The 18,930-nt window shown below is 41.6% G+C and overlaps 1 protein-coding gene across 7 annotated transcripts in view, besides 2 other annotated features; it reads right to left on the bottom strand.

Annotated features, from left to right (window-relative positions):
* Window positions 1–18,930, bottom strand: part of IGF1R (insulin like growth factor 1 receptor) — a 315,992-nt gene that overhangs the window by 196,096 nt on the left and 100,966 nt on the right. The window lies entirely within an intron of this gene.
* Window positions 9,414–9,913: an enhancer, noted in NCBI's record as "H3K27ac hESC enhancer chr15:99301751-99302250 (GRCh37/hg19 assembly coordinates)". NCBI's record gives its function as "activates a minimal SCP1, AML or CMV promoter by ChIP-STARR-seq in naive H9 embryonic stem cells {active_cell/tissue: H9 hESC(naive)}" and the evidence as "EXISTENCE:reporter gene assay evidence [ECO:0000049][PMID:30033119]".
* Window positions 9,914–10,415: an enhancer, noted in NCBI's record as "H3K27ac hESC enhancer chr15:99301249-99301750 (GRCh37/hg19 assembly coordinates)". NCBI's record gives its function as "activates a minimal SCP1, AML or CMV promoter by ChIP-STARR-seq in naive H9 embryonic stem cells {active_cell/tissue: H9 hESC(naive)}" and the evidence as "EXISTENCE:reporter gene assay evidence [ECO:0000049][PMID:30033119]".

Below are 18,930 nucleotides of genomic sequence, written 5' to 3'. Positions count from 1 at the left end.
CCACGTTGGCCAGGATGGTCTCGATCTCCTGACAGCATGATCCACCCGCCTCAGCCTCCCAAAGTACTGGGATTATAGGCGTAAGCCACCGCGCCTGGCCAGGTTGTGCACTTTTACTTTAAAATTTGATACCTCTTGCACAATGCCAAAGTGTAGAAAGGGCATCCAACGAATACTTTCCTTGGAAGGACTACATATCAACTAAAATCAAAGATACAAAAAAAATCTCGGTGCCCAATTTCCTGAACACACAAGCTCATCCAAGGTCCTGAGGGTGTACATGAGAACAGAACTGTGGAGAAAGGCTTTTTAGTTGGCAGCCAGCACAGGAGTCTACCGTTTCCTCTAGCAAGTTAGCTTACTAACTTGCAAAGTCTGTCTGTCTTCCTATGGATCTGAATTTCACCTATGCTTCACCTCATGGCTAGAGGCACACACCACTCAGCTATGGTCTGCAGACTGAGGAACCCTGGGACCTTCTATTATTTTGCCACATTCTCAGGAAAACATCACCCCACACACAAACACGCAAGTATTCAAACAATGCCAGGGATCTGACTTGGGAGGTAAGATGCTTGGGAGATGGAGACACAGTGTTCCCCACCTCTTCCCTGTCCTACCGGCACCAGCAGGAGGTGGAAGCCCTATCCTGCCAGGGACACCATACCCACTGTCAGATGAAACAACATGGGTTCAAGTGGAAAGTTTTTTGTTCGTGCGCTCTATTCCTTTAACATCCTATTTTAACTAAAAACCATATGTTTTAATACATTAATTCTACCGTTTCAAAAAACTCAAGGTAAATCTACCTACAAGATTCGCTGCACTTGCAAACTGCAGATTATCAACAATAAGAAATATTTTCTGGGTTATTCAAAACATTGATAAAGCTCTTTCATCATTTTTTTAAAGAAGCTTTTAAAGGGGAAAATGAACTTTGCTTTTGGCCTCAGTTTTCCAAAATATGACGAAGAGGTGGAAAACAGCACAAACCAAGCCCCACCGGATAATTACAGTTATGCCTCATGTATCAAAATGCCCTTCCATCCTTCATAGCAGGAGCAACCTGACAGAAGGGTCAGTGCTCCCTGAATCCAAACTGCAGCACAGAATGAGAGCCTGCCTGGAAAAGAAGAATGGAACAGAAATACTCACACTCAGAAAAGACATTTCATCCCACCTATGAAAAATTTAAATACTGAGGTCACTCATCCCCCAGTACGCTTACTGAGAGATTACATGAAAAACCTAACCAATGCATGTAAAAAGTAACTAAAAATAATGATCTAGGGAGTACAACAAAAAGAAATACAGATGGAAAAAAATAAATGAATTCTAATGAACCATGTGGAAATCCTATCTGGATTTCTAAAAGTTCAGAAGGTACCACTGGGCGAGTAGGCAATTAACGGGCGGAAAGGAAGGGGAAAGGCACCCTTGGTCTCTACACCGAGCCTGGTCCCTACGCTGACACCATGCAGCCCTGGAATAATGTGGCTGGCTGGATGAGCTGGAGTTTTTCTACAAACAGAAACATCAATTTGTGACTTGCTTAAATAACCTCCTGTGGAGATTTTCACAATAACCTGAATTAACAAAATAACATTAATTCTGACTTAGCACAGAATTATGGTTACAAGATGATCATGACAAAACAGTTGAAGGTGGTGCTGTTTCTGCTGTCTCCAAGAATAAATCAACACGCTTGCGTCCCACCACTCACAACTACCGCATCAACTTTGGCAGAGGTTAACATTATCAAGTTTTTACAAAAGGACTAAAAAGGGACCACAGGGATATAAAGAGGGGTATGTATGGACCCCCAGAGAGTTAATCAATCAATAAATACATTATCCAATCCCCAACTCAACTACTCAAATCATGCAGCTATATTAAAAATACGAAGAATATTAAGGATGACCCTTGCAGTATAAAATGTAATGATTATTTTTATCTTTCAATGAATCAAAGTTCTCACCGTCACACCATTCATAAAATTGGAATTTTCAGAATACCTACTTTAAAGTATAAATCCATTAAGCGAAAAATGGAGGAAAAGTGAAAGGTGGGAATCAGAAAAGAGACAGAAGAGACAGGCGCTCAGCAAAACCAGGTGGGAGACGAAAGGGATTTCTGGGGATTTGAAAAACCTTATGGATTTATATTCATCGCTTGGATAATTGACAGTTTATTATTACTGAATTTACTTAAGCTTTAGAATTCGTGAATTAGGGGAATTCTGATTCAATGAAAAACCTTTCAGAGACACCCTAATGACTGAAGAATGAAGCACACTTGACGGCCTTGAACTGCTCCGTACCTGCCTGGGGTCCCGGCTCACCCTTCATCCACACCCTTCCCCATGACAGGCTGCCTCCAAGCCCTGCAGTCTGTAGAGAACACCTTCCTCCTCCTGCCCTAACCCAGGTCCCCACGGTACCTTGGTAAGGGGTTGCACCACTGCCACTGCACAGAACCAGACACCCTCTCCCTTGCGTGGCATCAGCATGCCCACCATGGGATACTCATCACTAGCAGGACAACACTGACCCATCTGCCCTCTCCCTGCTGGACCATGGACACCTTAAGGCCAAACACAGCTGACTCCAGGTGCACACTGGCTGAGAAGGAGTGGGTTGTGCAATCATGGGGGAGAATTTCTACAACCCTAGGGTACTGCAAAGAATGCAGCCATTCTAAATGAAACATAAGATCAGCTGGTAAGTTTTGAATATTTTTCTTTTTAAAGAGCTTTCACTTCTATTATTGGGATGTATTCTCAACATACTTCTAAATAATTATTGTTGGCATGGCCAGGCAAGGTGGCTTATGTCTGTAATCCCAGCACTTTGGGAGGCTGAAGCGGGCAGATCACTTGATGCCAGGAGTTCGAGACGAGCCTGGCCAACATGGCAACACTCCATCTCTACAAAAACAAAAAAGAGAAAAGAAAAAAAAATTAGCCAGGTGTGGTGGCTCACACCTGTGGCCCCAGCTACTTGGGAGGCTGAGGCACAAGAATCACTTGAACCTGGGAGGCAGAGGTTGCAGTGAACCAAGACTGCACCCCAGCCTGGGCAACACAGCGAGACTGTCTCAAAAAAAAAAAAAAAAAAAAAAAAAAAAGGTGTTGGCATGATCATTGGGTGAGAGAGAGAGATATACATTAAGTTTACATCCATCTCAGAACAAAGATTGAGGTGTCTGAAGCCCTGAAGTTAGGCAATGAAAAGCAAATCTTCTGGATACAACTGGATACAATGGACTATTATTCACCCATAAAAAGGGATGAAGTACTGATACATTACAACATGGATGAACCTTAAAAATATTATGCTAAGTGAAAGAAGCCAGACACAAAAGGTCACATATTATATAACTGCATTTATATGCACTATGCAAAATAGGTGAATCCATAGAAACAGAATGCAGACTGGTGGTTGCCAGGAGCTGAGCGGAAAGGGGAATGGGGATTAACTGCTTAAGGGGTACAGGCTTTCCTTGCGGCATGACAAATGTATTTTGGAACTAGATAGAGATGGCAATTGCACAACAGTATGAATATACTAGATGTCACTGAGTTGTTCACCTTTAAATGGACAATTTTATGTCATATGAATTTTACCTCTATAAAAAAATTTTTTAAACAAATCTCCCACCATATATACCAAAGAGGAAGTCCAAAACAGACTCCTGTTTTCTCTGAAAACACAGGGGCACTCAGTGGAGCTGGAAATAGAACAGTATAAAAGAATTATTCGAAGACGAAGAACTTACTGGTTATTAGAAAAAAACTACAAATTGTTTAAATTGGTTTAATATTTTCTATTATTTAATTATCTCTGAAAATGCTTCACAGTACTTATAAAATGTCCTCTTTTCTGTGCTAGAAGCCTCTATTTGTAATGAACTCTACTTTCCCTTATTTGGTAAAAGATCCCAGCATTCTTCCATATGTAATTCCTCTGGTGCAAACACTATACCAACATTCTGTGTGTGTTACTCAGGAAGGTTAATTATTTTAGCACATAATTTTTATTTCTAAAAGTTCCCCTCTTTCTTGTCTTGTGATAAAACTAGTGTAACAAAAAAACAAAAACAAAAAACACAATAACAAAAAAAATCCTGCCAAAGCCTGTTTGTGAATATTACTCCATTCCATTATAAATTACAAGATTTTCTGTGACTTTTTCTGGTTAATAAGGAGAAAAGTTATATCCCAGTAAAGACACGAAAGCTTCAGGTAATTAAAAGCTCTACTAAGTAATGAAAAGCTAATCCTGTAGTGAAGACGTGTGGGCTGAAAGAAGATGAGGTGTTAAATATGCAAACTAAATGTCTATTTATTGCTAATACAGCCCTCACAAGAACAAATCGGATGCCATGACAAGTGTTCTTATCAACAACATTTGTTTTCTTCAAGAGAATTGAAAAGCTAAAACATGGACTTCTGCCTGGCCACACACAAAGCACAGCCCCCTCCTAAGAACCCAGAATGGGAAAGAAAGCTCTAGAAGCAAAGTACATGGCCACTGAAAGCCACATACATGCTAATGAGGTCACGCTGGGCAAGGTGACATCGCAGCTGCAGAGCCTTGTTAGAAGTATGTGACATCTACAAGCACACCTGGACAACCCACTCATTTGGAAGTAGGCTTTATTCGGTCAGGAGTCTCTGAACGACTTTCCAGTCTAAGCATTCAAAATGAAGGCACAAAAGAGGTTAAAACCACTTAACCCAGTTGTAACAAGGGAATTTGTACCAGAATTTAAGATTACAACCTGGATGAGATCAAAACCCTTAGGCTTCCAAAGGGACTTCACAACCTTTCCAGGGTTCTGTGGATGCTACCTGTTAACACGGTTTACAATGCCTCACCAATAAGGAGAGATGGGTGGGGAGGTGAACAAGGCTACCCAGTCCATGCCAAGACAAGGACACATTCTTTGTTCTCAAAAAGAAAAAAAAAAAAAATCAGGAGTCCCAGCCACGTCAGGTGTACCACGGTGACTGTTGCTAAAATCAAACAAGCAAACAAACTAAGGCCCTCCAGGTCATTTGCAACCCTCAATTCATTTCCTGAAGTACAACACCAAAAATTAACAAAAGGAAAGTGGAAGGACCTAAACACATGAAGAAAAACAAAGCCAGACTGGAACAAAACATTTCCCTAACTAGGTTATGTAAGACGAGCACCATAGAATATGTCAACATGAAATAAGAGCTTATCAAAATGGCATTTACACACACTGCATTGGTTTTAATTTTCTCTCAAAGTTGTCTTTTCCTTTTAAATTTAGTTGACAAGTTAGAGTACATGTGATCTCTGTAACAGAAAAACTAAACATTGGAATATATGTTGTGGAGGAATTTTTTTTTTTTTTTTTTTGAGATGGAACCTAGCTCTGTCGCCAGGCTGGAGTGCAGTGGTGCGACCTCAGCTCACTGCAACTTCCGCCTCCCAGGTTCAAGCAATTCTCCTGCGTCAGCCTCCTGAGTAGCTGGGACTACAGGCACCTGCCACCACACCCAGCTAATTTTTGTATTTTTAGTAGAGATGGGGTTTCACCATGTTGGCCAGGATGGTCTTGATCTCTTGACCTTGTGATCGGCCCGCCTCGGCCTCCTAAAGTGCTGGGATTACAGACATGAGCCACCGTGCCCAGCCTGTTTTGTTTTTGTTTTTGTTTTAGTTTTGTTTTGTTTGGAGACAGAGTTTCACTCACTGCCCAGGCTGGAGCATAATGATGCAATCTCGGTTCACTGCAACCTCCACCTCCCGGGTTCAAGCAATTCTCCTGCCTCAGCCTCCCGAGTAACTGGGATTACAGGCACGTGCCACCACGCCCAGCTAACTTTTGTATTTTCAGTAGAGACGGGGTTTCACCATGTTGGCCAGGCTGGTCTGAAACTCCTGACCTCAGGTGATCTGTCTGCCTTGGCCTCCCAAAGTGATGGGATTAGAGGCATGAGCTACTATGCCTGGCCGGAATATATGTATTTTTGAAATATTTTTTCATTTAAAATTTTTTGTGGAACAAGTAATAGAATCACGAGGTTCACAAATCAAAATGAAGTCTGAGGCAGGCGATCACTTGAGCCCAGGAGTTTGAGGCTGCGATGGGCTATGCGCGTGCCAGTGCACTCCAGCCTGGGCAGCAGAGCCAGACTCCATCTCAAAAAAAAAAAAAAAAAGAAAAGAAAAGAAAAGAAAAATCAAATGATATAACAACTTTTATTCATTTCTTATATATTCCTCCAATGCTATTTATGCAAATATAATGGTCACTCTACATGTGCAGGATTACATATCATTCAGACCAAGTGAGCTACATCATCACAAAGATGGGAAAATGTACCCTGAGGTATCCAAACGAACATCATACAGGCCCCCAAACAGGGAACAAATGCTAGGCAGGCAAGATCGACTGATATAACAGGTAAAGAGCAATCAAGGGCAGTGTAGTTAAGATGTATGATTTGTCTGTTTCTCCCACTAAACAGTGAGCCCTCTGCAGCCAGAAACAGTGGCTTGCTCATCACTGTACCCCTCCATACCTAGAAGGGTTGTCTGGCACTTGAAAGGTGGCCAACAAATGTTTGTGGAATAAGTGCATCAACCAATATTCCATCATGGAGGACCTAGGGACTGAATGGGACCTGAAAGGATGGAGGAATATGGAGATACTTACAGAGGCAAAGACTGTCCTGGCAGGGACAACAGTTCAAGCTCACGGGTAAGACCACTAAGCCACTGGATGGAAATGTGGTTGGAGTCTGCCTCAAACCTCAGTGGAAAGGGGCAAGTTCCTGCAAAGATGCATGCATTCACATGGCCTTTCCTGCCTGGAGGTGACAGTGAGTGGTAGTACCTGCACACAGGGCTCTGGCAGACTCAACCAGGTAGCCAGTCTCAGACAAACTGTGGAGGCAAATTACGGAAGGTTTGATCCCTGGCCCTGTCCTCTGTGACTGGTCCATGAAGTCACTTTTCCTGCCTGGTATGAATGCTTCCCCGTCCATGTCCATCCTCGCTTCCTTCCAGGACTCTGTAGCACTTTCCCCTTTCTCAGTGTGGCTAGGCATTGTTTTCTCCCTCCCTCTCTGCCCCTGCAACTCATGTAGGACTCAGCAAAAGCTTGAGAGGTATGCAGTGACAGTACTGTCATGTCTCTGTGACACCCCAAGCCATCAGAGACAACGCCAGCCAACAACAGATGTGCACATACCCAGGTGCTCCACAGTGCCCCTGCAGACTCTCCTACTGGAGAACACTCTGGAACTCAGAGCCAGGGTTGCCCAAGACAGAGAGCTGCAGAGACCAGCAGTAGGACAGGCAGGTCACCTGTCCACTGGCACAGAGGCCAGGTGGTGTTTAGGCCCCGACTCTACCAAGAGGACAACAATCTACAAAGCTCTGTGCTAAACTCATCTCCAGTTTATTTTACATTTGGCAAGACGAAGCTGTTCAGTATATATGTCACTTTGAAATGCTTTCATAAATTAGACATCGAAAAGCAAACAACACGGCCAAGAAGAGCTGAGCGACAGCTCCTTTCCCATTTTTATCACTGTGGTATTATTTGGTCTGTATCGAAGGATGGGTAATCAGAAAACATAAGCCTTCTTACATAATACTCTCCAAATTGGACAGTGACTTGGAGTTCCCAAAACACAATCTCCATCCTAAAACCTCCTACATGGAACTGAAGAGCTGGACTAGACACATTCCAATCACTACAAGTGGTGCCAGTCTGGCCTCCTTCTCCTGCCCGAGACAACCCCTGGCAGACGCCCCGTTGCAAGAGCCAACATGCACACACGCCTGCAATGCCGCAGCGACATGCACTCAGCTCAGCTGGAGACACACAAGTACCCATGTAAATGGTCAAAATGTTCAAGTCTCACAGTAAATAAAGGCACTTGTATTACAGCTATCGTTATAAAAATCTGTAACACTTCAAGAGACCATTATGGAGCTATTAAAAAGATTTTGCATTCAGTTTTCAAGATGACTTAGGCAGAATGCCACCACTATAGTAATTACTTTATTTATCACTATGTAAACGGATTTTTTTTTTTTTGAGGCAGTCTCTCTCTGTTGCTCAGGCTGGAGTGCAATGACACAGTCTTGGCTCACTATGACCTCCGCATCCCAGGTTCAAGCCATTCTCCTGCCCTCAGCCTCCCAAGTGGCTGGGATTACAGATGTGCACCACCATGCCCAGCTAGTTTTTGCATTTTTTTTTTTTTTAAGTAGAGACAGGAGTTTCACCATGTTGGCCAGGATGGTCTCAAATTCCTGACCTCAGGTGATCCACTCACCGTGGCCTCCCAAAGTGCTGGGATTACAGGCGTGAGCCACCGCGCCCAGTCAGATGCTCAATTTAAAAAGAGAAACACAATTCATTTAAAAAGAGAAAAATGGTGTTCTCACACAATAACCAAGCAAAATGTGGCAGCAAAGGCAGTGGCTCTGTCTGCAAATACTGGTCATCTTGAATTAGAAGTCTCACGGTACCACGGGACAGGCAGCTGAACTGTTTGAGAAATTAAAAACTAGCAAAATAAAATAATTCTGCAAGACACATTGTGGCTGAACCTCAGATGGCCACACAGACACCTCTTTCATTAGCAGGTTCGGGCACTTTACCTTTCAGTCCTGATACACATAGATATCTTAAGCCAACTATGTGCCCCATGAACTAAAAATGCCTTGAAAATATTCAACTCTATCTGACATATTGCCCCAGGTCCCTACAAAACTTGAAAATAAATTTTATTTTATTCAGTACAGAATTGGTTAAGAAATCTTCTGACATACATGCATAGCAACAATTTCCAGGTCCTTACTTGTGCTGGCAATTTTGCAAGGACATGAAGCTATTTCTAGAGTATCTCACTGCAATAATACATGTGTTCATCAAACAGACCCCCTGGGGGGCCGTTCTTCTGTAATGCAGGGGAAGGTACTTCAATGTCGGACCAAGTCAGAGAAGTGCTTCGGCACTAACATCCTGACTTCCTGAGAAATGAGAGAACACACTAAATAATTCCAAAGACAGGACTGTTATTAAAACCAAGAACAGACATACACAGGTTTAACCTAACACTACTGTCCTTTCTGGGGCACTCTGGATAAACAGACTGTGAACATCAGACAGAAACACCTGCACTGAGATACAGATGGCAATACCCTCAAATTTGGGCCAAGCTGGCTAGGCATTTTGTCCCAAGTTTTCCAGCTGTGGAGTGAAGAAGTGCCCCCTGCCCCTGTGCGTGTGTACATACTTACAGGCATACAATTGATGTCATTAACATTGATGGAATGTATGATTTGCTATACTGAGTGATGGAGACAGAGGATGAGGACTCTAAGAAACAGTCCTTCCTGTAAGAGAAACATGCTGTATTATGCTTCCTTTATATAAGTATCCCACTTTCTTATAGTTGAGGGCAATCCAGCCCCGCTGATGCAGCACCACTCTCAGAACTGTTTCCAAATGCAGACATGCACATCTTTTTTCTACCTCCTTCTCACAATACAGCAAAGAAAAATGTACACAAATATAGTCTTTATGGGGAAGACAGTGGCCTGAATAAACATACTTGGTCCTGCCTCCCTCACAGTCCCCTCTCTAAAGTAACAAGGACAGTAATCTAATGAGCTTACAGGTAGTGCATGGGATGAGAGTGAGGGCCTTCTGAGGCCCTCAGGATCTCCCAAATCTCCAAAACAGAGAGCGGGTACAGTTCTCCATGGTCATTGTAACTGAGAGTCCATCCACAGGGAAGAAGGCCCTGCACCCTGCTCATCCTGCTGTCCCAGGTGAAACCAGAGGGAAGGGGGGCTTCCATGGAAGGTGGAACTGTTCCCAAGCCTTATGTTGTCGGAAGAGACTGGGAACAGAGCAACTCAGCGGCACAGTATCTGTTTCCTGGCTTATCACCTACCATCTGCTGGTCTGCCATTCCTTGAGTGACACTAACCCATGACTTGTGTGACGGCTGAGGGCAGCCATCGGCAAGCAAAGAAAAACCATGACCCACTGAGGACGACGCAGGAGCCTGAGGGAGGGTGACCAAGCTCAGCTGCAACAGGTGGCACCAGCTGAAACAGAACTAATCGAACCAAGAAAGGAGAACTAGACGGGAAGAGGAGTCTAAGAGCATATGTGGAGACACAATTGGAGTATAAAAACTTTCAGGAATTAAAAAAAAAAAAACACTTTAAAATTTTAAATTGAACAGAAAAGATCTGTTGCTCTAGAGTATCAGATTCTGGAGGATTAAGAAGAAGAAATGCGAGCGCCCAAGAGCAAGGAATAAGAATCTACTAGAATCCATGAGTGAAAAGACAGAGAACACATCCAGGAGACAGAGAAAGTCATGGGAACGGCAGAAATTGCGGAAATGCAAACCCTGGTGGAAGAATTAGTAATTTAATGCTGGTACCTATTTCAGGAGAAAAATACAGATTTTCAAATTGTTAGGCACCGGTAGCTTTGAAAATAACACACTTTTCAAATTAGCAAAGGACTTGTTCAATTAACATGGGAATTGAGAATAACAGAAAGTAAAATAAATGGCAACCATTGAATAAGATGAAAGCAATAAAGCAAAATGTATGCATTATCACAGTAAAGAAAGACAAGGCAGAACGTCCCTATTAGAGAACAAAAATGTCTCAATGGGTTTTAAAAGTCCAGCTCTATTTAAAAACAAACAATTGAACAAGAGTATACCAAGCAAAGTCAAGTAAAAAGAAAGCAAAGCTGGCAATAGTAAAATCAAACCAAGAACTCAAGGCCATTAAGCATTAAACTGGACAGAGAGGGATATTACATGTGATAAATATGTAATCCCTGAAAAATAAAAAAATTACACATATTGATGCATCAAGCAAAACGGCAGATAAATACACTAAGCATTTCTCTTGGAAATATGAAAAGTTTAAAAATTATAAAAGGGGCCCGGTGTGGTGGCTCACACCTGTAATCCCAGCACTTTGGGAGGCCAAGGCAGGCAGATCATTTGAGGTCAGGAGTTTGAGACCAGCCTGGCCAATATAGTGAGACCTCATCTCTACTAAAAATATGAAAATTAGCCAGGTGCAGTGGCATGTGCCTATAATCCCAGCTACTCAGGAGGCTGAGGCAGGAGAACCACTTGAATCCAGGAGACAGAGGCTGCAGTGAGCCAAGATCACGCCACTGCACTACACAGCCTGGGCGACAGAGTGAAACTCTGTCTCAAAAAAAAAAATTATAAAAGGTGCATCATTAACTGTCAATTTGACAACTGAAAACATACATGAATTTGGAAGATCTGACTATAATGCAATCAGTAAGTTTGATTTACTAAATACAGAAAATAAAACCTTTGCATTTTACCAAGGGCATAATTTTTTAATGTCCACAAAGCAATTAAAACTTAATCATGTACTTGGATGCAAGTAAACGTTAATAAATCCTCTCAGATACCTCAGAGCTGCATTCATAAATCATATAAACAATATCAAAAGGTAAGCAAAAGAAAAATTCAAGGACAGACATACTTCTAAGTAATGTCAGAATCAAAGATCAAATAAATATTTTAATTACAAACCATCTAGAAAACAACAAAAAGGAGATCAACTGTCTAAAACCAAAAATACGTAACAAAAGCAATTTTCAAAGAAAATGTATAGCCTTAAATGCCATTATTTTAAGAAGACTAAAAAGCAAATGAGACAGGCATTCAACTTAATAAACTTAAAGGAATGGAAAAAGTGAATAAAAATTAAATACTGAGATGAAATTAAAAGCAGGATAAATATAAAATTAATATACCTAGTTTTTTGAAGACAATAAAATATATAAACTTCTAACAAACTTGATTAAGGGGGAAAAAAGCAAAAAAAGAGCAAAAATATGTGTTAGTAATGAGAAAGGGTTATGATTACCAGAGAAATGATAACAATATTACAAATAACTGTGCGATAAACTCAAATTGTAGATAAATTCTTTCCCAGCAAGTAGAAAATATCAAAATCCAGAGAAAAGGCTTAAAAGCTGAACAGAACAACTATAATATATTCTGAAAAACTAAAAAATTTGTTTTAAAATGTTCTGGGATGGGACTACAGGGGATGCCTATGAAGTTTTCCAGTTAATTTTACTCTAACTTAAAAAAAAAAAAAAAACAGGTTATTTCCTATATTATGTAAATGCTTCTAGATGCTGGGAAAGGGTGAAATTCTTCTTAAATTATTTAAAAAACATAATCCTAATATCAATACCTGATAGAATGCAAACAAGGAAAAAAACTAAAGACCCCTATCTGTAGGGCTTTGTAGGCTACAGTCACAATTTTTAAAAAAATATTAGCAAATCAAATAGCAACATATCCAAAGATTATCACACCATAACAAATTAGGGCTTATTCCAGGAATGCAAAGATGATTCAATATTGGGAAATCTAATCAACGTAATTTATTACACCACCAAATAAAAGCAAAAGCTCACAATTATATCATGCCAAAAAGGCATTTCATAAAATTCATCAGCCTCTTCCGATAAAAATTAAAACATGAATGAGTATACACAACTTAAATATGATAAACTATATTTACCAAAACTTAACATATTCCTTGTTAAAACACATTTTTTTATTTAAATCAGGAACAAGGCAGTAATGCCTTTTTTTTTTTTTTTTTTTTTTTTTTTTTTTTTTTGCAATGGAGTTTTGCTCTGTCATTCAGGCTGGAGTGCAGTGGCACGATGTAGGCTCACTGCAACCTCCGCCTCCTGGGTTCAAGCAATTCTCCTGCCTCAGCCTCCACTGCCACCACGCCCAGCTAATTTTTGTATTTTTAGTAGAGACAGGGTTTTGCCATGTTGGTCAGGCTGGTCTCAAACTCCTCACCTCAGGTGATCCACCCACTTCAGCCTCCCAAATTGCCGGGATTACAGGCATGAGCCACCATGCCCAGCCAGCAATACACTTTTCTATAGTACCAGCAAAGATGGATGTATACACATACACGAGTCAATTTACTGTAATCCTGTTTCATTAGTGAAACACAGAGAAAGAAAAAACAAGAAACCACATGACTGTCCATCAACAGATGATGGCTCGACTAAACTATGAATCATCCATTTTGTGAACTGCTGAAATTTTAACTCGTTTCAAACTCCGCAGCAACTGACCTAAATTGATATCCATACACCGAGAAAAAGTAAAAATGTTACGAAAGACTATATAGAGGCTATTCACTATACTAATAGCATGATCTCATTTTTATAAAAACCCAAAACTATACTGCATATATGCATATATCTTTCCTAAAGAAGATTAACGAGGACACACAATTTTCTATATATATCTTTTATTTTACACTAGCATCACTTTTTGTTTTTATTAAAGAGAATTTTAAAGAGACCAGATATACACATATATATCTGTTTCGATAACACAAAGCACCTTCTAGGCACACAATATTTAGAAAAGAAATTCTCTGCGTATTGTTTCTTGGGAAGGTAGGAAGGGTGAGCACTGCAGCAGCTATCCTCAGGTCAACCTAGGTGTGAATCCTGACCTCATTGAGTAGCAAGTTCTTTAGTCTCTAGGAGCCTCTGTTCCTTCATCTGTAAAATGGGGATAATTTCTCCCACCTCTCATTAGCCTGTTATGAGGATTTAATGTTTACACCTAACCTGCAAATCAGTCATTACTAGCGTTCTTTTATTCCAAGCTCATTCCTCTCAAAAACAAAGACAGAAAGAAGGAACCAAAACTTCCCTCCCTGTGGTTTCCAAGAGCTGCCTGGCAGTGCCTAACCATGGCTGTGCTGCTTCGGAACGCAGCAAAGGTTCAGTGGGGACTCCTGTTCAGTGTTCCTGGAGCTGCCAGCGTGAGTCAAAGGTGAGCTGAAAACGCTGGTGGTCCTCAGTTTTCATGTTGGGAGTTTATCACAACCACAACACCAACCTTCAGCTTCTCAACTGGTACTTAAAAAGCAGCAACTCACTCAAATACTCACAGGCAGATTCCTGGCAGGAGCAGGGGATTTCCTGGAGATCGCTTAAGACTCTTTTGGACAATGAGAAAAGGACAAAAAGGAAGCACTAGTAGAGCCCTCTACTTCCAAATCCTCAGGTTCCCCTCCAAGACAGAAAGGCAGAAAGAAAACATCAGGGAGAGCCACAGATACTGCAGCCTAGCTCCCTGGATTAATTAAGGCTCATTAAAAGCAGAAAAGAAAAACGAAAGGGAAAACTTGGAGACCTGGTTACCTCCCGATCCTGATACTGATCCCATTCTGTAAGCTATTATTAATAACAAAATATGAAGAAGAAAAAAATTATCAACAGGAAAGGGAGTTAAATTGTGCGTTAAATATACATTTAAATTTTCTGAAAAAGGAAAACAAGGCTTCCCTGAGAAATGAGCTGGCTGGAAGGAAGGCTGGAGCCCTGCAGTATCAAGAAGCAGATCTGTCCCAGAGGAGGGAGGGCACAGAAAATTCCTGCAACAAAGACTTTTCAAGAGTGAAAAGGAAAAAGCATCTCAGCTTAAACTGAAAGTATCCTTTCTCTGTTATAGAAGGAACTCACATACAAGAGAGACCTCCCAACTCACATCTTTGTATCTCACATTTTCCAAGATACTTGTTTCATGATCCAAATAATATCATAAAAAGTAATAAAACCATCTGTAAGAAACATTAATTCGCCATGGTTTGGCTAACAGAATTCTTCACCATCTCCTCCCAGATGATAACATTAAAAGCTAAATGAAATGAGTCAAAAGCTTCTTTTGTATAAAATCCAATTAACTTTATAAATATACTCTCAGGAGGAAAAAAAACCCACATCTCCTTGAAGAGCAGGAATTTATATCAAAATTTATATAATTATTGGCCAGGCATAGTGGCTCACATCTGTAATCCTAGCACTTTGAGAAGCCAAGGCAGGTGGATCGCTTGAGGCCAGGAGTTCGAGACAAGCCTGGGCAACATAGAATGACCCCGTCTCTACAAAAAATACAAAAAAAAAAAAAAAAAAAAAAAAGCCAGGTATGGTGGTGCATACTTGTGGTCCCAGCTATTTGGGGGGCTCAGGCGGGAGGATTGCTTGAGCAGAGGAGGTCAAGGCTGCAGTGAGCCGAGATCGTGCCACTGCACGCCAGCCTGAGACCCTCTTTATTTAAAAAAAAAAAAAGGCTGGACGTAATGGCTCACACCTGTAATCCCAGCACTTTGGGAGGCCGAGGCAGGTGATCACGAGGTCAGGAGATCAAGACCATCCTGGCTAACATGGTGAAACCCTGTCTCTACTAAATACACAAACAAATTAGGTGTGGTGGCACGTGCCTGTAGTCCTAGCTACTTGGGAGGCTGAGGCAGGAGAATCGCTTGAACCCTGGAGGCGGAGGTTGCAGTGAGCCAAGATCATGTCACTGCACTCCAGCCTGGGCAACACAGCAAGACTCCATCTCAAAAAAAAAAAAAAAAAAAAATAGTATGATTTTCCAGCCCTAAACATATTCTTTATCTCATCTGAGTAACTTTGGCTACTATTTTAGGTTTTCCTTCTGCAATATTTGATATTGATTGAAATAATGCATTTTAACTAAAATTGAATTATGTATCACTTATAATAACAAAGTCAATTTAATATTATACACATCATTAGTTTGAGCCATATTATTCACATGTCAGGTACATTTGGGGGATAAGGCTCACATACTTTCTTTTTTTTTTTCTTTGAGACGGAGTCTCGCTCTGTCGCCCAGGCTGGAGTGCAAGTGGCACAATCTCCGCTCACTGCAAGCTCCGCCTCCCGGGTTCATGCCATTCTCCTGCCTCAGCGTCCAGAGTAGCTGGGATTACAGGTGCCCGCCACCACGCCCAGCTAACTTTTTTTTTGTATTTTTAGTAGAGACGGGGTTTCACCGCGTTAGGATGGTCTCGATCTCCTGGCCTTGTGATCCACCCGCCTCGGCCTCCCAAAGTGCTGGGATTACAGGCGGGAGCCACAGTGCCCAGCCAAGGCTCACATATTTTCGTTAATAAACACTCTATTCTTTAAAAGTGAATTTTGATGAAAACGACTCCCCAGACAGCAGGACCCATTATCCAGGATGGCCACATGCCCTGAGCTCTCACAGTTCTGATTTTATAGAAAAATGACCTGGTGTGGGCTCAGAAAACAGTCATAAATGTCAACAGTTCACACACGAATGTTTTGTGGAAAGCATCTGCTTGTCATTGGCTAATATAGAGGCAGGAAGGTCTGGAAGGGTAAATGAGCAACTGCCAGGTATCTGAGCAACTGTCTGAAAGGTTTGGGGCCACCTCAACTCAGCACGCAAAGAACCCATACTGTCTACAAGTCTGCACAGAGGAACCCTAGGAAGACAGCCTGATGCCCTAATTCCCGTGTAAACAAATACTGACACAGACTCACAAAATACATGTATAATACAAACAGTGAAGAGTCTGTATTATGTAAGTTGTTTATACAGAAGACTGACTTGGGCTGGGGAAGGGAAAGGGTGGGAGACGTCCACACAAACCACAGCATATATCCAAACAATTATGTTATTTGTTCTTCCCTTATTTTTCTTATTCGTGGGAAGCTTCTCCCAAAGACAATGTGAACATTTCACACATAGGCTTTAGAAGCATAGGTCCGAGTCTCAACAGGTAAGCTGTTTGGAAAGCAACTTGGCCATATGGGTCAAGAGCTTTAAACTGATACCTTTCCACAGAAATCCTATTTCAAGGGACGTATTGTAGGGAGATAATTTGAAATAAAGGACAAAGATTAAGTAGTACAACAGAGTTTGCTGCAGCCTTCTTTACTTATAAAAAACTGGGACCAATGCAAATGCCCAACAATGGGGAAACTTTAAGAATGTTACGGTTCCTTCATCCCATGTCACTTTACACTACCATTAAAATCAGGGTTACAGCCTTTTGAGAGTTGAGGGGAGAGGATCGCTTGAAGCCAGGCATTCAAGACAGACACCTGGGCAACATGGCGAGGCATCACTTCTACAAAAAACTTTTTTTTTTAGAAATTACCTGGGCGTGGTGATGCACACCTGTAATCCTAGTTAATCAGAAGGTTAAGGTGGGAAGAGCACTTAAGCCAGGAGCTCAAGGCTTCAGTGAGTTACGATGGTACCACTGCACCCCAGCCTGGGTGACAGAGCAAGAACACAGCTCTTAAAAGAAAAAATTAAGCTAATAAGGAGTGTATGTCGCTGAAAGGCTTTTAAATGCTAGGAAATAAACATGTAACGATCAGAGGCTCAACTACACTAAAATGTGTTTGTTTTAAACATCTAGAAGAAGGCCGGGCATGATGGCTCACGCCTGTAATCCCAGGACTTTGGGAGGCCGAGGTGGGTGGATCACTTGAGGCCAGGAGTTTGAGATGAGCCTGGGCAACATGATGAAACCCTGTCTCTACAAAAAAAACACAAAAATTAGCTGGCCATGGTGGTGTACACCTGTAGTCCCAGCTACTCGGGAGGCTGAGGTGAAGAGGATCACCTGAGCCTGAGTAGGTAGAGGCTGCAGTGAGTAGTGATCACGCCATTGCACTCCAACCTGGGTGACAGTAAGATCCCGTCTCAAAAACAAACAAAAAACTAGAAGAAAATACACTTAACTGTTCTCAGAATGCTGGAGTTATAGGTGGCTACTTTTCTGAGTTTTTCCAAATTCTTAAGCTTAGAGACAAATTTTTAACCCTGAATAGTTTTAGGCAATTATTTTCTTTAAGAGACAGGGTCTCCCAATGTTGCCCAGGCTAGGCTTGAACTCCTGGCCTCAAGCAATCCACCCTCCACAGCCTCCTGAGGAGCTGGGATTACAGGCATGAGCCACTTTGCCCAGCAGTTTTGGGCAATTTTTATGAACAGAACAAAATGAAACCAAGGATGACAGAATACCATACTAGGCTCAGAAGATTTGGACTGTGGCTCCAACTCTGCTCTTGGACAAATCCCTAAACATCTCAGAGCATCAGTTTTGCACCTGGACGACGAGAAGCTGGACTAGATAAATCCAGGGGCCCTCCTAGGCCAAGGGCCCTTGATCAGGGAGGCCAGCCCCCTTGCCTGTGACCCACAAAGTCTCAGGGCACAGGGAAACAGGGAGAAGCGCAAAACTGCCCAGGCCAAGGGACCCCCCAACAAGGGAGCACAGCCAGGTGCCCCAGTGTCACCTGATGTGAGGCCTTTCTCAGCTCTTTCAGTCCTGCCTGCACCTTAGACTTCCAGATGCTCTATATACTGAGGGAATGGACTCTTCAGGTAAGAGGTTGAGAATGACAAAAGAGAAAGGTAAGAACTTTCACTGGAATCAAAATGGTATTGCTATATGCAATTCCCTCTCACAGCTTCATATCCCTTAGAGGTAAGGAAAAGGAAGAAGAAAGGATGGTCCTTCTGGGATAGAAGTCGAGCAAATATCTTTGTTCACTAAGAAATAAGGAGAACAAAATACCCAAGTAGAACAGATTCTTTTTTTAAGCCAAAAAAAAAAAAAAAGCCTAAAAATATTTTAAAAGTCTAAAACGATAAAATTATTTTTTCAGGTGGCACCATGAACGTTATGGTTAAGTAGTCTAACCAGAAAAATGAGAAGTGTCCCACCATGCTGTCACCTGCCTAAGCAGCCTAGCAGCAGCCAAATCGAATCTCTTAGGCAAAATATGGGATGATAGGATTACAGAATTAATTTTCCTGTAAGGCATAATTGTTACTGACTTCATGTCATTACAATGTCAGCTCATCTGGTAGACGATTGCTATTACATTCTAATTACAAAAACACACAAACAATTTGTAACCATTCATTATTAAATAACAAGTGAGGCCATGATAGCTAATGGAAACTTAGAAAAATGAAAATTAAAGGCAAACTGGACAATA

The sequence above is a fragment of the Homo sapiens genome, chromosome 15 (assembly GCF_000001405.40).
Source record: "Homo sapiens chromosome 15, GRCh38.p14 Primary Assembly".
Classification (NCBI taxonomy): domain Eukaryota; kingdom Metazoa; phylum Chordata; class Mammalia; order Primates; family Hominidae; genus Homo; species Homo sapiens.
Note: the sequence above shows the minus strand (reverse complement) of the source record. Positions and strands in the feature narration are given on the sequence as shown.